Consider the following 16,094-nt stretch of genomic DNA (forward strand, 5'->3'; position numbering starts at 1 on the left):
GGTTGTTTAAAACTGTGGTAGCACCTCTCCCCTCTCTTCCTCCTGCTCCAGCCATGTAAGACATGCCTGCTTCCCCCTTACTTTCCACCACTATTATAAGTTTCCTGAGGCCTCCCCCAAAGCAGGAGCCACTATGCTTCTTGTACAGCCTGCAGAACCGTGAGCCAATTAAACCTCTTCTTTATAAATTACCTAATCTCAGGTATTTCTTTATAGCAGTGAGAGAACAGACTAATACAGCAATTTTTTCTATGTGCTGGGTATGGTTCCAGCTGCTGGGGATACAGCAATAAACAAACACATTACAAATCATATTTCTGTTCCTAATGTGGACTAGATTCGATCTCAAGCCAAAAAATTTAGTTTTTTAAACTTGAGGAAGTAGACATTTCCTAGATGTATGTAAAATGGCTTAACTTTCCTTAAATAGCGAATAGTGGAAGGTACAATATGGTTGTTACCTGATGGTATGAAGACAATATTGATGCCAAACATAGTATGAGTCAGCCAGGTATACAATCCATAGAAGCCAGCCATTTTGAGGGAAGCATCAAACACCCCTCTGGAATGCCCAAAGATAAAAAGAAAGAGTAAATAAACAGTGTCATATCGTGATTCAGAAAAATCACGTGACCACTTGATTCCAAATCATGTAATAGCTTCAGTTTTTCTGCTGGCCTGAGAATGCTATTTTCATTTTATTTCAAAGAAACATAAACACCTTACTTTAAATACATTTACTAAGTTATTCTTTATGTAATATGAAATATGTTTTATTTGGAAATATGTTTACTATTCCTTAAATTTCTGATGAAAAAATAACTGAAACACCTTAAAATACCCTATTCTCTGAAATAATTCATCAACTTTTCACTCTGAAGCAGATATTTCACCACCAAAACAAATGGAAAGAAAATTAAGCGTGAATAACATGTTTCCAAGAATACAGTTTAAACTCTAAGAAACCCAGGCTGTGGCCAGTCCTCCCCTTTTGGAAAGAGCCAATAAGGGATAGTGTAACTTGTATTTCACCATCTTTCTTTGCCTTAACAAAATCTTCCTATGTTTCTTAAACTATGTAACTAAGCCTACAAAGTAACATCTCTTACAAATGCTATCAAAGAAAGTAGGTCATTGGGAGAGAATTTGTGGGAAAAAAAATATTCCTAACTCCAAAGTAAAATCAGAGAGGAAAATACAAGAGAGATAAAAACAGACACATATATTTGGTGACTAATATAGGAATTCAATACATGAAAATCTGCAATGTCAGGTGCTCTGTGTTTTTCAGTTGGAAGATTAGTAAGGCAGTGCAGCACTATAAGGAGGGGAAATAAGGAACTGTTCAGAGAGCACAAAGGTGGCAACCCGTAAGTAATCTCAAGGCAGCACAAAATCATAAAAACCTGGACTCTATGGGGTGGTGCAGAGGGGTGCAGGGAAAGCACCTTCATATGGTCACTACAGAAGAAAAGCTGTAGTTGAAAAAGAAGACGTTAGCGGCAAACGTGACCTTGTACATGCAAAAAGAAACACCAAGCTTTTCTAAAGCATCCCAAGAGGTATACTGTTAGGAGCAAAGTGAAGCCCTGTAATCTAGTGATTTAGTCATTTAGTAGTGTTCTGGGACATGGATCCAGGGGCAGAGTGGCTCCCCAATTGTAAAACCTGCTTTGTCATCCGGACCAATGGCTTTCACTAGAGAACGTCTTAAAGGAGCCATATGACTCTGCAACAAGAACCCAGAATAAAGTGGTATCAAAAATACCAAAAGGAAGCGAAAGACCCCAAAGAAAATACCAAGGATCTGCTCAACAACTAAACAGAGAGGACAGAGCAAAAAGAAAACAACAGAGCTTCAGGTTTTAAACCTGAAGGGGAAAGAATAGCAGTGTCTCAAAGTCATGGAGAAGGCCAGAATGGAAGAGGCATGCAAGAAAAGGGCAGTTTGTTTAGTATGGGCAACAGGAACTCAAAAAGGATGATGAAAATACCCTAGAGGTAGCTGAAATAAGAGACAAGGCTTAATAGAAAATTCAGAACAAGACATCTGAGACGCACCAGAATAATTATAAAAGAGTACAGGACATCTTAAAAGGGCAAGTGGAGAGAAAATAGGGCAACAGGTTGTGTTTTCATAAAGGACCTAAAGACAAAGAAATACCAGCCAGAGAGGTAATGAAATCATTTCCGTAGTAGGAGGAAAATCACTAGAGTGCAGTATTCCCGGAGACCAAGGGAGAAGGTAGGTTTTGAGGGGGAGGGAATAATGACATAATCGACCACAGAGAAAAAGAAAGGAAAAAAGTATAGAATTTGTCTAGAACTAGGGAGGTCAATGAGGAAAAGATAGAGATGTGATCCTTTCTTTAACCTTATGTTATTTAAAAAATTTAAGCCAAAAATAAGTTGACATCAAAGGTGCAACAGAATACTGCAACTCAATCACCCCTCTGGGTGGCAAGTAACCAAGGCTCAATCCAGTAAGGACCACGTGGAGAAGACAGCAGTCTTCTTTCTTTCACTGCTGAGAATATTGGTTGCTGGTAATGTTCTCAAGGCAACTTTTAAATGCACTGTATATTGTTTGCAGTTACTAAACATATTCATGTAACCTAGTGAGGGATGAAAAGACAATATATTCCCCTCTACCTCATTACTTGTGATCTGGCACACAAGTTTTATAAATAAAACAGCAGAGAAAAATCCTCTTACAATTTACCAGAAAACAGAATTTAACTCCCTCAAATTCCTAGCAACTTTTTCTTCTTTTTTATATCAGCTTTATTAAACTATGATTTACAAATAATAAAACTCACCAATTTGAAGCATTCAATTCAGTAATGTGCACAAATATATACATTCTATAACCATCATTACAATCAAGATGTAGAATATTTCCATCACCCCAAAAAGTTCCCTCATGCCCTTCTATTGTCAAACCCTCCCTAAACTCTGGCCTCTGATGGCCACTAGATATGCTGTCACTATAATTCTGCCTTTTCTAGAATTTCACGTAAACACAACCATACATTATATAGCTTTGTATTAAATTGTGGCAAAATATCCATGGCACAATATTTAGCATCTGAATCATTTTGAGTGTGCAGTTCAATAGTGCTAAGTACATTCACGTTGTCGTGTAGCTTTTGGTGTTTCTTTCACCTAGCATAATGCTTTTGAGCTTCACCAACATTGTTGAGTATATCAGTAGTTGGTTCCTTTTTTACTACTGAGTAGTATTCCATTATGTAGATCTACTACAACTTGCTTATCCATTCACCAGCTGATGGGCATTTGAGGTGTTTCCAGTTTGGGGGTATTATGAATAATGCTGCTATGAACATTTGTGTACAAGTCTTTGTGGACATATGCTTTCATTTCTCGTCTGTAAATACCTAGGAGTGGAGATACTGGGTCATACGGTATCTATTTAACTTTATAACTAATATTAGCTTTAATCTCTCAATTCCGAAAAAACTAATAGTCCACGGACACCAACCCAGAAGCCACTGCCTCCTACCTCACCACATATCTCCTCAAGGTATGAGGTTAAACCTCACAGTTTCATGTGAGTGGATGCTGGCAGGAAGAACAATTCAACCCATGAAAAGCTAAATGACAATGCATCTGAAGCACCTAGTAACTGACCTAGTGCACAGTAGATGCTCAATAAGCAGTGGCTATTAGTAGAAAATGTGGTGTGTGCACAAGGAAATACTATTCAGCCCCCCCAAAAGAAGGAAATCCTGTCATTTGCGACAACGTAGATGATCCTGGAGGACATTATGGTAAGTTAAATAAGCCAGGCACAGCACAGATAGACAAATACTGCATGTGGAATGTAAGAGTTGAACTCATAGAAGTAGAGAGTAGGATGTGGTTGCCATCCTACAAATTTTTTTTTTTTTTTTTTTTTTTTTTTTGAGACTGGGTGTCAATCTGTCACCCAGGCTGGAGTGCAATGGTGCAATCTTGGCTCATTGCAACCTCCACCTCCTGGGCTCAAGTGATCCTCCCACCTCAGCCTCCCAGGGGCTGAGAGATGGTCAAAGGGTACAAAGTTTCAGTTAGGATGCATAAGTTCAGTAGATCTATTGTACAGCATGGTGACTACAGTTAATAATAATGCATTGTATACTTGAAAACTGCTAAGAGTACCTCTTAAATGTTCTCACAACAAAAATGGTACGTGAAGTAATGAATATATTAATTAGCTTGATTTAACCATTTCACAATGTAACATTTTATTACAAACTATAAATATATAGCATTCATTTTTATTTGTTGTCTGGCTGGTTGCGGTAGTTCACACCTGTAATCCTAACGCTGTCAGAGGCCGAAGCAGGTGGATCGCTACAGCCCAGGAGTTCAAGACCAACCTGGGCAACAGGGAAAACCCCGTCTCTACTATAACCACAAAAAATTAGCCAGGCATAGTGCGTGCCATTAGTTATATGCCAGATAAAGTTTTATTTGACTTTGGGAGTAAATTATTCCTAGCAATCTCTGAATTTTAGGTTCCAAAGAACCCTGGAGATAAATGGTAATTATATGCCCAGTATTATAGGTTATTTAACCTTACAATTTAAAATAACCAAACCAAAACTTTCCGGTATGCTACCTGCATGTGCACAGCATATAACTGTACTTGGCATGTAGTGGGTTGTGTTAGTTTCCTGTTGCAGCTGTAATAAATTACCCTAAACTCAATTGGCTTAAAACATACTTTTTATCTTATAATTCAGAAGTCCTAAAACCTGGATGCCACATTCTTTTTGGAGGATTTAAAGGAGAATCTGTTTTCTCTTCTTTTTTAGTAGTTTTTTTTTTAGGCTAGCCAAGTAAAGCAGTGAGAGCAGAGAGGGAACAGAGCAATCTGTAACTGGTTGTGATCATTTAGTTGTAAATACGACCACACTTGGACTAGCCTTTTCCAGTTTTTAAAGGCTGCCTTCATTCCTTGGCTCATGGCCCCATCTTCCATCTTTCAGACTAGTAGTGTGGCATCCTCCAATCTCTCTCCATCTCTGAGCTCTGCTTCTGTCCACATGTCTCCTTCATTCTGACTCTCCTGCCTTTGTTTTCTAATAAAATTTTTTTATTGAGATGAAGCTCATATAACATAAATTCCATCATTTTAATGTATACAATTCAGTGGTTTTTAGTATGCGCACAATTTGTGCAACTATCATCATTAATTCCAGAACTTCCTCCCTCTTATAAGAACTTTTTTTTTAACTTTTCTTCTTTCATTAAAAATAAATAAAGGTATAGCTGACAATTTTTTTTTTTTTTTTTTTTTTTTGAGACTGGGTGTCAATCTGTCGCCCAGGCTAGAGTGCAGTGGTGCAATCCTGGCTCATTGCAACCTCCACCTCCCAGGCTCAAGTGATCCTCCCGCCTCAGCCTCCCAAGTAGCTGGGACTACAGACGCACACACAACCCACTACGTGCCAACCACTGTTATGTGCTGTGCATATGCAAGTTTTGGTTCGGTTACTTTAAATAACCTATAATACTGAGCATATAATTATCACTCGTCTCTAGGGTTCTTTGGAACCTAAAATTCAGAGATTGCTAGGAATAATTTACTCCCAAAGTCAAATAAAACCAGTTAGTCAACATTTTTTGGATAGTCAATTTCAGTAAACACTTCCCTGTCTTACTATCTATGAAAGACATTATGATACAGTTCATCAAATCTCTTGCAAACATCACGATAGACGTGGACTTCTGGCATTCCCTAAAGGTGACCATGTATGACTTGTGCTGTGTGATCCATGGTGCCAATGGTCATTACCCTTCCCTTTGTAACTGCTCACAACCATGTGGTCAAGCACCTACTGCAGAAATTGACAGAACACTTACATCAAGTTTACCAGTCTAATATTTATGGACTATATACGCTTCCTCCACCTTTATGTCTCAAAAAATATCTGCCTTTTCTTGGTTTTCTGGGACCTTTTTCTTCAGTGATTCTTCAAAGATTATTGACAGTTGTTCTTTAATTTTAGTCCAAGCTCTCCTAGCACTCAATAGTTGATGAGAATCAAACTCTGGAGGTTCTTTTCCTCCCTCCTTTTGGTAGCTCAGATGGACGTGATTTAGCTCAATGGAAGAAGAGACTGACACACCAGCCACTGAGCTAGAGGCACGGTTTTCTAACAAGGCCTATTCCCTATTCATAGACCTCCCATTACTACACAGTCTTAGAGATGTTCTCCTGTCCCATACTATATATAGACTATTATAGAGCAGGATTCCTGTCCATTGGAAGGTAGGCCATCGTGCATCCAATCCAGCTATGCCCCACCTAAGCATACCTCTCTGTGGAATAAAAGTTCCAAGAGTTAGTTAGGATCAGCTTTTTCTCAGCTAGGATTTTCCCCTAATAAAGCCTACTGTATATTTATACCGTATGGCACTAAAGGTGTGAATATCCATGCCTCCTTTACACAACTATATTTAATAATAACTCCTCTGCACCAGAAGCTTGAATTGACTTCAAATGATTGTTTACAATGTTAACTCTTCCTAACCAGCTCTTGATCTTCATCCTTTATAAATCCTAGGATGAAACTTACTTTTTCACACGTTTCCTGATACTTAACTTTAGCTCTCAACCCTCTCTTTTCTGACAAACCAGATTGTGCTTGCTACTTTTCTAAACTGAGTAAGAAAAAAATAACAAGACAATTCAGGATTTAATCAGATGACCTGCTTTTAATGGAATGATATTTGAAGCAAGGAGTGGGATGGGGAGAATAACAAACCAGTCCAGAAGCTCTATAAACTCAGTGTACACAGGGCCTTAGACCACAGCTGAGTAAGAATTACCTGTCTAAGGAAGAAGATAAATAATGAAGAAAAGGAGGAGTGAAGAGTCCAAAGTGAAATTCTGCCTCCTCCACATTTCCTTACACTGGTTCCACCCTCTTTTCTAAAGGACTGTCATTCCCCTTCCCAGTATTCTAGCCTCACTGCAATATGGTATGTCTCAAGTAGAAAGTGAGCTGGTGGGAGAGACCAGTCAGCTTTTAGAGACACAGTATATACAATAACCAGTGGGAAAAGTACTCGCCAGCTCCCTTGACTGCTCTCTACATATTTATGGGGTACATAATAATGTTTCAATACATATAATGTATAGTAATCAGATAGGGGTAATTGGCATATCCATCATCTTGATCATTTATCATTTTGGTTTTTTTTTTTTTTTTTGAGATAGAGTCTCACTGTCGCCCAGGCTGCAGTACAGTGGCATGACCACAGCTCACTGCAACCTCCACCACCTGGGTTCAAGAGATTCTCCCACCTGAGCCTCCCGAGTAGCTAGGACTACAGGTGCATGCCACCAAGCCCAGCTAATTTTTGTATTTTTAGTGGAGATGGGGTTTCTCCATGTTGGCCAGGCTGGTCTTGAACTCCTGACCTCAGGTGATCTGCCCGCCTTGGCCTCCCAAAGTGCTGGGATTTGAGGCGTGAGCCACCGTACCTGGCCTCATTTCTTTTGTTGGGAGCATTCTGTATCTTCCTTCTAGCTACTTGAAATGATATAATTTATTGTTGAACTACAGTCATTCTACAGTGCTGTAGAACATTAGAACTTATGCCTTCTAAGTAATTTTTGTATCCTTTAACAAATCTCTCTCTACCCACCCCTTCCCAGCCCCAACCTCCCTTGAGAGGTCACATCTTCCCTTTCTTGATTAATCTGCCCTGGAAACCCAGCTCCACAGGGTGTCATATAGCAACCTGGCTGACATTAGATTTCCAGCATGAGGGGAACGGCCGAGCTGCTGAAGGGCACAGGGGATGAGCTGCTTACGTGGAATTCTTCCATTCTCACCCTCCAAAACAGTGGTGAAACACAGAAACATACAATGACAGCATCACAATAGATCATCTGGAGGCTATGGTAGTAGTAAATATTAATTCAATATTTTCATACAGTAATACATGGTTTTGTGTCCTTGACAATGCCTAGTGATTGTGGATGCTTACTCTAATGCTAACTAAAAAAATAACAAGGGGTTGTTTCAATTACATAGGCAAATAGTAAACGTGTATTTCAAAACTAGTTCCATTATTAGCCCACTAAAATGAATTTAGCAGTTTTCGAAGCATCACAATGAGAAAGTAAAAGACACATTTTTAAGGTAATTTACCTTGGAAACTTAAGTTTATGAGATGAATCTTTCATCAGGTAGGTTAAGCATACCTTTACTGTCTTGATTATTATTTAAGAACTCCAGTTAATTTAATTTCCCCAAATATGCATAAGAGATTTCTGCTTCTCTATTCCAGTGTTGGGAGAGATTTCTTCAAATAAATGAAAATACATTTTCTTACAGCTTTACATTCTTCCTTATACATTTAAATATTGTTTATACTCTTAAATCAATGAGAATTTGTAATAAATATTTCATTTGCTCAAAGTAAAAAATGGAAACACTGATTTACTAAATGATCATTGCTGACTTTTTTTAATCCAAATACTTTTAATTCTCCAAAATTGGAAGGTACCGATGGGAAGCATGTTCACTTTCCAAATGAGAATCGCATGGCATACACACTGTCTTATCTAATTCATCAGGACACCCACCCACTGGCACTGAAAAGCTGTAATCCCAGCAAGCAAGAGCCATACCCGTGTGCATGCACTCATGTGAAAATATCACACACACTAAATTGCATTGAGGCCGTGACAACATGCAACTTAGTAATGTGCAATATCTCCACCAGAGCAAGCAGAATGGGAGCATCAGGGAAGAAGGGTGTGATGTATACATTCAGGAGACAACATGCTGCTGAAGAGAGGAAAATGGTCTGGGGATAAAGGATGCATGCCACTGACTCAAAACTTCATGAAATGAAAACCCAATTGCAAATGTATTCAACTGAGAAGAATACTTATTCAGAATCAAAATAATGAGTAAGGTTCAAAACTTCAATGAGATAGTGATCATAAAGAAACCACATACTTCAGAAGGCAAAGCTTCACGAACAGACACTATCACTGTCTGGTCATGCAATTAACCCCCAATTTCAATTCCATTTTTGACTTATTCACAGATCATATAAATGAATGTAATGATTTCCACTTAGCTGCAACATAGATGATGATTAATGACTGATGCTTATAAAAGTTGGTATCACTGATATTTGTAGGCTAAACTGCACTTTGAGGACATTACAATATTTTCATAGTCATTCATAAATTATAAATAACCACTTATTTTTCCCTCAAAATCTTTTTCCATGAAGAAACATATTGCCTCTTCAACACAAACCTTCAGGATGAAAAATCCAACAGGAGCTCTTAGAAAGAGAACTCACTACCATCTTCTCCACAGGAGAAAGCTCTTCAGAGGAATCTCTGTAAAATCTGTACATTTTAAGTCTTGAATTTGAGCCAGTAAAGAAACAGCCCTAGGAACTTAAACTGCAAAAAAAACACCTTGAATTATAGCCTTAAAATTACATAACTTGATATAGCTTTGGTTAGAAAAATGTCTCAGGCCATAACCCATTCTTTAGTCTGTACCATATTTATCAGACTCATAAAAATCTATCAATTCTGAGAACCATTAGATTATAGTTCTGGTACCAAAGGTTGTTAAAATTTTTTCTGTATTTAAAATAAGGTGATAATAAAACAAATGGTTTTTAAATGCCAGTATACTATGGAACCAAGACATAAGCTACTGTTATAATACATAATTAGTGTATGCACTCCCAAGAAGGGAAGTCGAATCTAATTTGTAAAAGACTGATTTCCTCATATCGCTGTAGATGACAGCACTCTTTGTAATCTCAAATTCTCTCCTGAGCCAAAGACCTGAATTTCTAAATGCCACCCTCTTATGTCCACAAATATAAGTCATGATCTTCCCTAACCAGCTCCTCTTGAAAGAAGGCATCATGGTGTAACAGAGTATGTGCTTTCAATCAGCTGAACCTAGGTGTGACTAACAGCTTTACTTACCACTGACTGGCAAACACAACAGCTAGGAATTAAGTTTAAAACAAAAAAGGTGGCATATTTGGTATGAAAAAAGGTGACAGACATTTAGAGGATGGTCTGCTGTAAGAAAGCAGAACAAGAGAAAATTCAAAAGCTGTGATGTGAAAATAGAAACATTTTTCTAAGAATAAGAGTCAGTAACAATGAAGATTACTTGAGGAAAATGGAAGCATCATCTTTCTTGAAGTTCTTTATGAACAAGGTAGATATTTTTCTGCAAAGCTTGGCTTAAGCCACACTGACTGGAGAATTCCTACCAGCCTTTGATATGGCTGCTACAATAAATAGCTTTACCCCACTGGGAAGATAAAAGATTAGCCTTCCTTTTTGGTAGAGCATTTGCAAAAGCTTTTCTGAGTCAGAAAGATATCACCTAGATAAACAAAAGATTATCTATTGCTAGAATTTTCATCATTTCATTTATTCAGCAAAGATGATAGTCAATGGTCATATAGGACTTAGGAGGGAAGCTATAGCTGGTACTTCCTTCGAAACAGCTTCACCCCAATTGCTGTTACACTGGATAATATACTCCCAAATCTGGAATCTTTATAGATGGCCCCTGTGTGGATACCTGAGGACACTATACAGGTGTTAAGAGCATTTTTTTTAATCCCACTTGACAGCCAATCGCGGAAACAAGGTATTGGTGAAGATCTTACCCAGGCCTTGCTAGTAGGAAAAGGGGAGAGAACTTAGCAAAAGTTCTACAGACATTGTATTTTAGGAGCATGCATCCTGTTTGAATGTAACTGAAGGTTTTCTAACAATCAAATGGGATTCTCCCTAGCTATTACATGAACACAGTGAAAAAATATACCAAGATCAATCAGGTGCAATTATCAGAGAAAAAAAAAAAAATCAAGATTTCTGTGGAAGACTAGTTCCAGACAATATTTATTAAAAGTATGTGGAGACAGAAATGCCAGCCAAAGATTTGCTATTCAAGAGATGCTTAAGACCACCTGGTTAACAACGTATTAGAAAAAGGAGCTCTAATGGACAATAGGAGGGTTTAATTTGAGACGTATTCATAAGAAGTAAAAATGTAGTTGAGTCTTGTTAATGAGGAATGATGACAGGGATTACAGGAGGGGCTGAGACAGGCCTGCTCTGCAAAAGGGTCCTCCCTACCAGAAATGATGAAGAGGAAAAGATAAAGGAAGCCAAGAGCCAACGACCTGGAAAGAGCTTATACAGAGGAAAAGTTGAAGAAGTTCATTCAGAAACAAAGCCTGTAAATACATGGATGCCAGAAGTCATAACGAAAAAGTTTCTGGCCAGAACCTCCAGTGCATACAGAGCCTATAACTTAAGAGATAAACAACGATTCTGCATTTCCAGTATCCAACCTACTCCTTGCAGAGGGCACAGCTTGGCTGTAGGACAGAGGAGAAACAGGAAGTCCACCTACTCTCCTTCTGGAGCAAAGCTAAAACTCCTGACAGCAGAGGGTTCTGAAAGAAGTTGGAGATGGGGGTGGTGGAAGCGGGGGTTCTCTTAAGCAAGTGACATGATGCTAACAGCTAGTCTAAGATCCTGCTGATGGAAAGCTGATGGAGATAGACCATTACATCTTTGTAAATCTCAGGTTTGAGAGAAGGTTATCAAAACTGCTTTGAATTGTTAAATTTTGTTTTGTTTTTGAGATAGGGTCTTACTCTGTTGCCTAGGCTGCAGTGCAGTGGTGTGACCAAGTTCACTGCAGCCTCCATCTTCCAGGCTCAAGCAATCCTACCACCTCAACCTCTTAAGTAGCTGGGACTACAGCTTTCACACCACCATGCCTGGCTAATCTTTTTTATTTTTAGTAGAGACAAGGTCTCGCTATGCTGCCCAGGTTGTGTCAAATTCCTGAGCTCGAACAATCCTCCTGCCTCAGCCTCCCAAAGTGCTGGGATTACAGGTGTGAGCCACCGCGCCCAGTCTGTTTTTTTGTTTTTTAAGAAACAGGGTCTTGGCCGGGCATGGTGGCTTATGCCTGTAATCCCAGTATTTTGGGAGGCCGAGGCAGGCAGATCACTTAAGGTTAGGAGTTTGAGACCAGCCTGGCCAACATGGTAAAACCTCATCTCTACTAAAAATACAAAAATTAACTGGGTGTGGTGGTGCACGCCTGTAATCCCAGCTACTTGGGAGGCTAAAGCAGGAGAATCACTTGAACTCTGGAGGCAGAGACTGCACTAAGCCAAGATCACACCACTGCAATCCATCTCCAAAAAACAAAGAAACAGGATCTTGCTCTGTCACCAAGGCTGGAGCGCAGTGGCGTGATCACAGCTCACTGTAACCTCAAGTTCCTCAAGCAAGCCTCTGGCCTCAGCCTCCCAAGTAGCTGGGGTTACAGGTGCATGCCACCAAGCCCAGATAATTTTTAAAATTTTTTTATAGAGACAGGGTCTCACTATGTTGTCCAGGCTGATCTCAGACTCCTGGCCTCAAGCAATCTTCCTGCCTCAAGCAATCTCAATTGCTGGAATTACAGACATGAGCCACTGTACCTGGCCTGAATCTTTTTCTTATTAACAACTGCACTGTTCATATTTATCCTGTCAAAATGAGATGAAAACCTTGAAAATACCAGAGTCCATCACGAGTTTAGCACTGAATGTTATCAGGATGCTCATGACAAAAAACAGGCTTATCATGGAAAAAAAGTTCTGGGAGAAATAAGAATAGCATAAACCTTATCCCTACCTGATAGCTTCTTCCACAGACTGGCCAATAATATTAGAAGAAGGACCTGGCTGAGATAGTGGAGTCAGGCTTATCACCCACTTCACTGGCTTGTAGTACTCATCACTGGAACTTAATAGATAAAATAGTGTGGTCAGGAAAATTATCTGCAAAACAAAGGACAACATCTCCTAAAAAAATCGTATTTGGAAACTATAGGAAGACAGACATCTGCAATTGCAAATGAAACCAGAAATATGCTTTAACAGGGAAGGAAATATGACGTGTACTTATCTATGTGGACGTACCAGAGAGAGTACAAAATTGAGAAGGGCTGTCCCGCTGTAGAAGAGGATGGTCAAGAGTGTAGTGACAGTGGTGAACAGCAGGCTCACATTCCGGCTCATAACGATCCACAGAGACTCCAAGATCTGACGAGGAAGGAAAGCTGGATATCAGAACCAATCCTCATGAAAAAAGTTTCTAGAGCCATCTAGTGTGCTTTTAATACAGTGTTTTAGTACCATGAACTGAAAAGCTAAGAACTGAGGATTATTTCAAATGAAAATTAAAAAAAAAAAGAAAAATCAACCAAAAACAGTTGTATACTCAATAGTAAAGAAAATAGTAAATCCACACCAAATAATATAGACAGCAATTAAAAACATCACTGTTATAACATGGGAAAATATTTTACAATGAAATGCTAAATTTAAAAAACAGGATTAAAACATTTTATATATAATTGGTGGGGCATGGTGGCTCATGCCTGTAATCCCAGCACTTTGGGAGGCTGAGGCGGGTGGATCACTTGAGGTCAGGAGTTCCAGACCAGCCTGACCAACATAGTAAAACCCTGTCTCTACTAAAAATACAAAATTAGCCAAGTGTGGTGTGGTACATGCTTGTAATCCCAGCTACCTGGGAGGCTGAGGGAGGAGAATCGCTTGAACCCAGGAGGCAGGGGTTGCAGTGAGCCGAGATCCTACCATTGCACTGTAGCCTGGGCAGCAAGAGCAAAACTCTGTCTCAAAACACACACACACACACACACACACACACACACACACACACACACATCATTGTAGATTATGTAAAAATCGCAAGCAGAGAAAAAATATAGTCATGCATCACTTAATTATGGAGATATATTCTGAGAAATGTGTCATTAGGCAATTTCGTCCTGCAAATGTCATAGAGTGTACTGATACAAACCTAAATGGTAAAGCCTAGCACACATATAGGCTGTAAGATACAACCTACTACTCCTAAACTATAAACCTTTGTAGCGTGTTACTGTACTGAATACCACAGGCAACCACAATATAGGTATCTGTATATCTAAACATCTAAAAGGTACAGTAAAAATACAGTATTATAATCTTATGGGACCATGATTGCATTTTGTGGCCCATCATTAACAGAGACATTATTATGTGACACAGGCCATGACTTTACCTCCTGGGGAATATGCTAGAGTACAACCTGTGGTTATATTTATCTTGTAGGATCCTAAGTGCAGGCCATGAAATTCCAGTATTTGCTTTACTGGCTGCCTAGCCCCCACCCTTGCCATTTCCAACTTAGAGCTATCTACAAATATAAAAAGCATCACCTCAATGACTTCATTAAATCACAAGAAAAGCAATCAACAGACAGGGACAAGAGCAGTGCTCTGAGGCCAAAAATCTTTCCTGAGACAGGCAATGACCAGTATATTGACGTCTACTGAGTTCAGCTGATTTGTCACCTACACATTCACTAGAACCAGATATCATGAGGAAGGTTTCTCATAGATGTTAAATATTAATAAAGGAGAGGTACAATATTTATAGCATACCTGCACATTTCATTTACTATCTCAAATCCCCTTATTATATTATCTGTTCTATTCTTCCTAAGTGGACTATCCTTCCTCTTAATGAAAAATACAAAAACAAAATGACCAGAAAAACACCTCCCATTACCATTTCTAAAATGCTTCCATAGACCTCCCAACAATGCTGTGAACGAAGAAATGCAGATGATATTATCTCTATTTTATACATACATAATTTGAAGCTCACAAATTTTTAGAAAACTTGCCCAAAGGCACAAAGCTAGTAAGTGGAACTAGAGCTTAGAGCTTAAATGTTGTGGGGCAGAACTCACAACATCTGATTTTTGTTTTGGTGCCCTTCCCAAAACAGCAGTTCTGGTTTTTGTCATATGTCCATCTGTTCTATGAAAAGTCTTCTCCATTCCTTTCCTACTTCAGATGTACCATTTATAAAGGCATATTTTGTTGCCCTTGGCATTTCTTGCAAACCTCAGCTCAGTTTCATAAGAGAACTCCGGCAGGCTGGTTTCATTTACAAAAACTCCTTACATAAAATCTTGAAAATGCTTCACAATGCCTACAAAAATGTGCAAGATTGACTGTTTGACCTCGTGGGATAAAGAATAAATGAACAATGCCATCAGTTCCAAGAAACAAGCCAACAATGCCTTTACTTGTGATTTGACAAGCATTCTTTTTGCAGCTTCAGTCATTTTGGAATTTTTATTAAAAAAAAAAATTTAAATAGTTTCTGGGTTGCACTGAGAGAAAATATCTTGTGGTAATTCTTAAGAAATTAACTAAATACACTAATTTTAGATTGGTAGTCTCCAACAACAAAAAAGTAACCTTTCCTATTTGAAAGAAAAAAAGAAAGGGAATCAACTGGAGAAAATAGAGGAAGAAACATTTCTAGAATATTAACTAAATCCTTAAAGTAAAGTGGTTTAATTTATATGTCAGGCTTAAAGAGGAGAAACTGGGTAAAGGCAGGCACAATAGCAAGGCCCATGAAACTCTGAAAACAAAACACATTTATGGAGACAAAATGTATCCCAACTCAGGCTGGGTGCGGTGGCTCACACCTGTAATCTCAGCACTTTGGGAGGCCAAGGTGAGCGGATCAGTTGAAGCCAGGAGTTTGAGACCAGCCTGGCCAACATGGTGAAATCCCATGTCTACTAACATACAAAAAAATTAGCTGAATGTGGTGGTGCATGCCTGTAATTCCAACTACTCAGGAGGCTGAGGCACAAAAATTTCTTGAACCCAGGAGGTGGAGGTTGCAGTGAGCTGGGATCGTGCCACTGTACTCCAGACTGGATGACAAAGCGAGACTCTCTCTCTGAGGGGGAAAAAAAAGGATCCTAACTCAGAAGTAGAAAACATGAGCCAGGTTTGGTATCAGTTTAATCAACAATAGCAATGTAAGTACTGGAAGAACATCACAAAGAGTTCATTATGAAACATACAAAAAGCCCAAGAGACTTACTGAACCAACTAAGCAATGTGGTCATGAACGGTGGTCTCTACTGTGGATAAGAACTGACCAACAAGGCCTCACCATCT

The 16,094-nt window shown here is 39.0% G+C and overlaps 1 protein-coding gene and 1 non-coding gene across 12 annotated transcripts in view; both read right to left on the minus strand.

Annotated features, from left to right (window-relative positions):
• The window catches only part of TMEM245 (transmembrane protein 245), a 104,813-nt gene that overhangs the window by 22,421 nt on the left and 66,298 nt on the right, over window positions 1-16,094 (minus strand). For all 11 annotated transcript variants that reach the window (NM_001438169.1, NM_001438166.1, NM_001438172.1 and 8 more), the window contains 3 exons: window positions 13,015-13,137; window positions 12,728-12,873; window positions 462-562 (listed from right to left, as the gene is read on the minus strand). In NM_001438169.1, the coding sequence (NP_001425098.1) occupies window positions 462-562; window positions 12,728-12,873; window positions 13,015-13,137 (370 nt within the window). The remainder of the gene's footprint in view (window positions 1-461; window positions 563-12,727; window positions 12,874-13,014; window positions 13,138-16,094) is intronic.
• MIR32 (microRNA 32) lies at window positions 8,674-8,743 on the minus strand. Its single transcript, NR_029506.1, has one exon. It is a non-coding gene; the product is annotated as a microRNA 32 (primary transcript).

The sequence above is a fragment of the Homo sapiens genome, chromosome 9 (genome assembly GCF_000001405.40).
Source record: "Homo sapiens chromosome 9, GRCh38.p14 Primary Assembly".
In the NCBI taxonomy this organism is placed as follows: domain Eukaryota; kingdom Metazoa; phylum Chordata; class Mammalia; order Primates; family Hominidae; genus Homo; species Homo sapiens.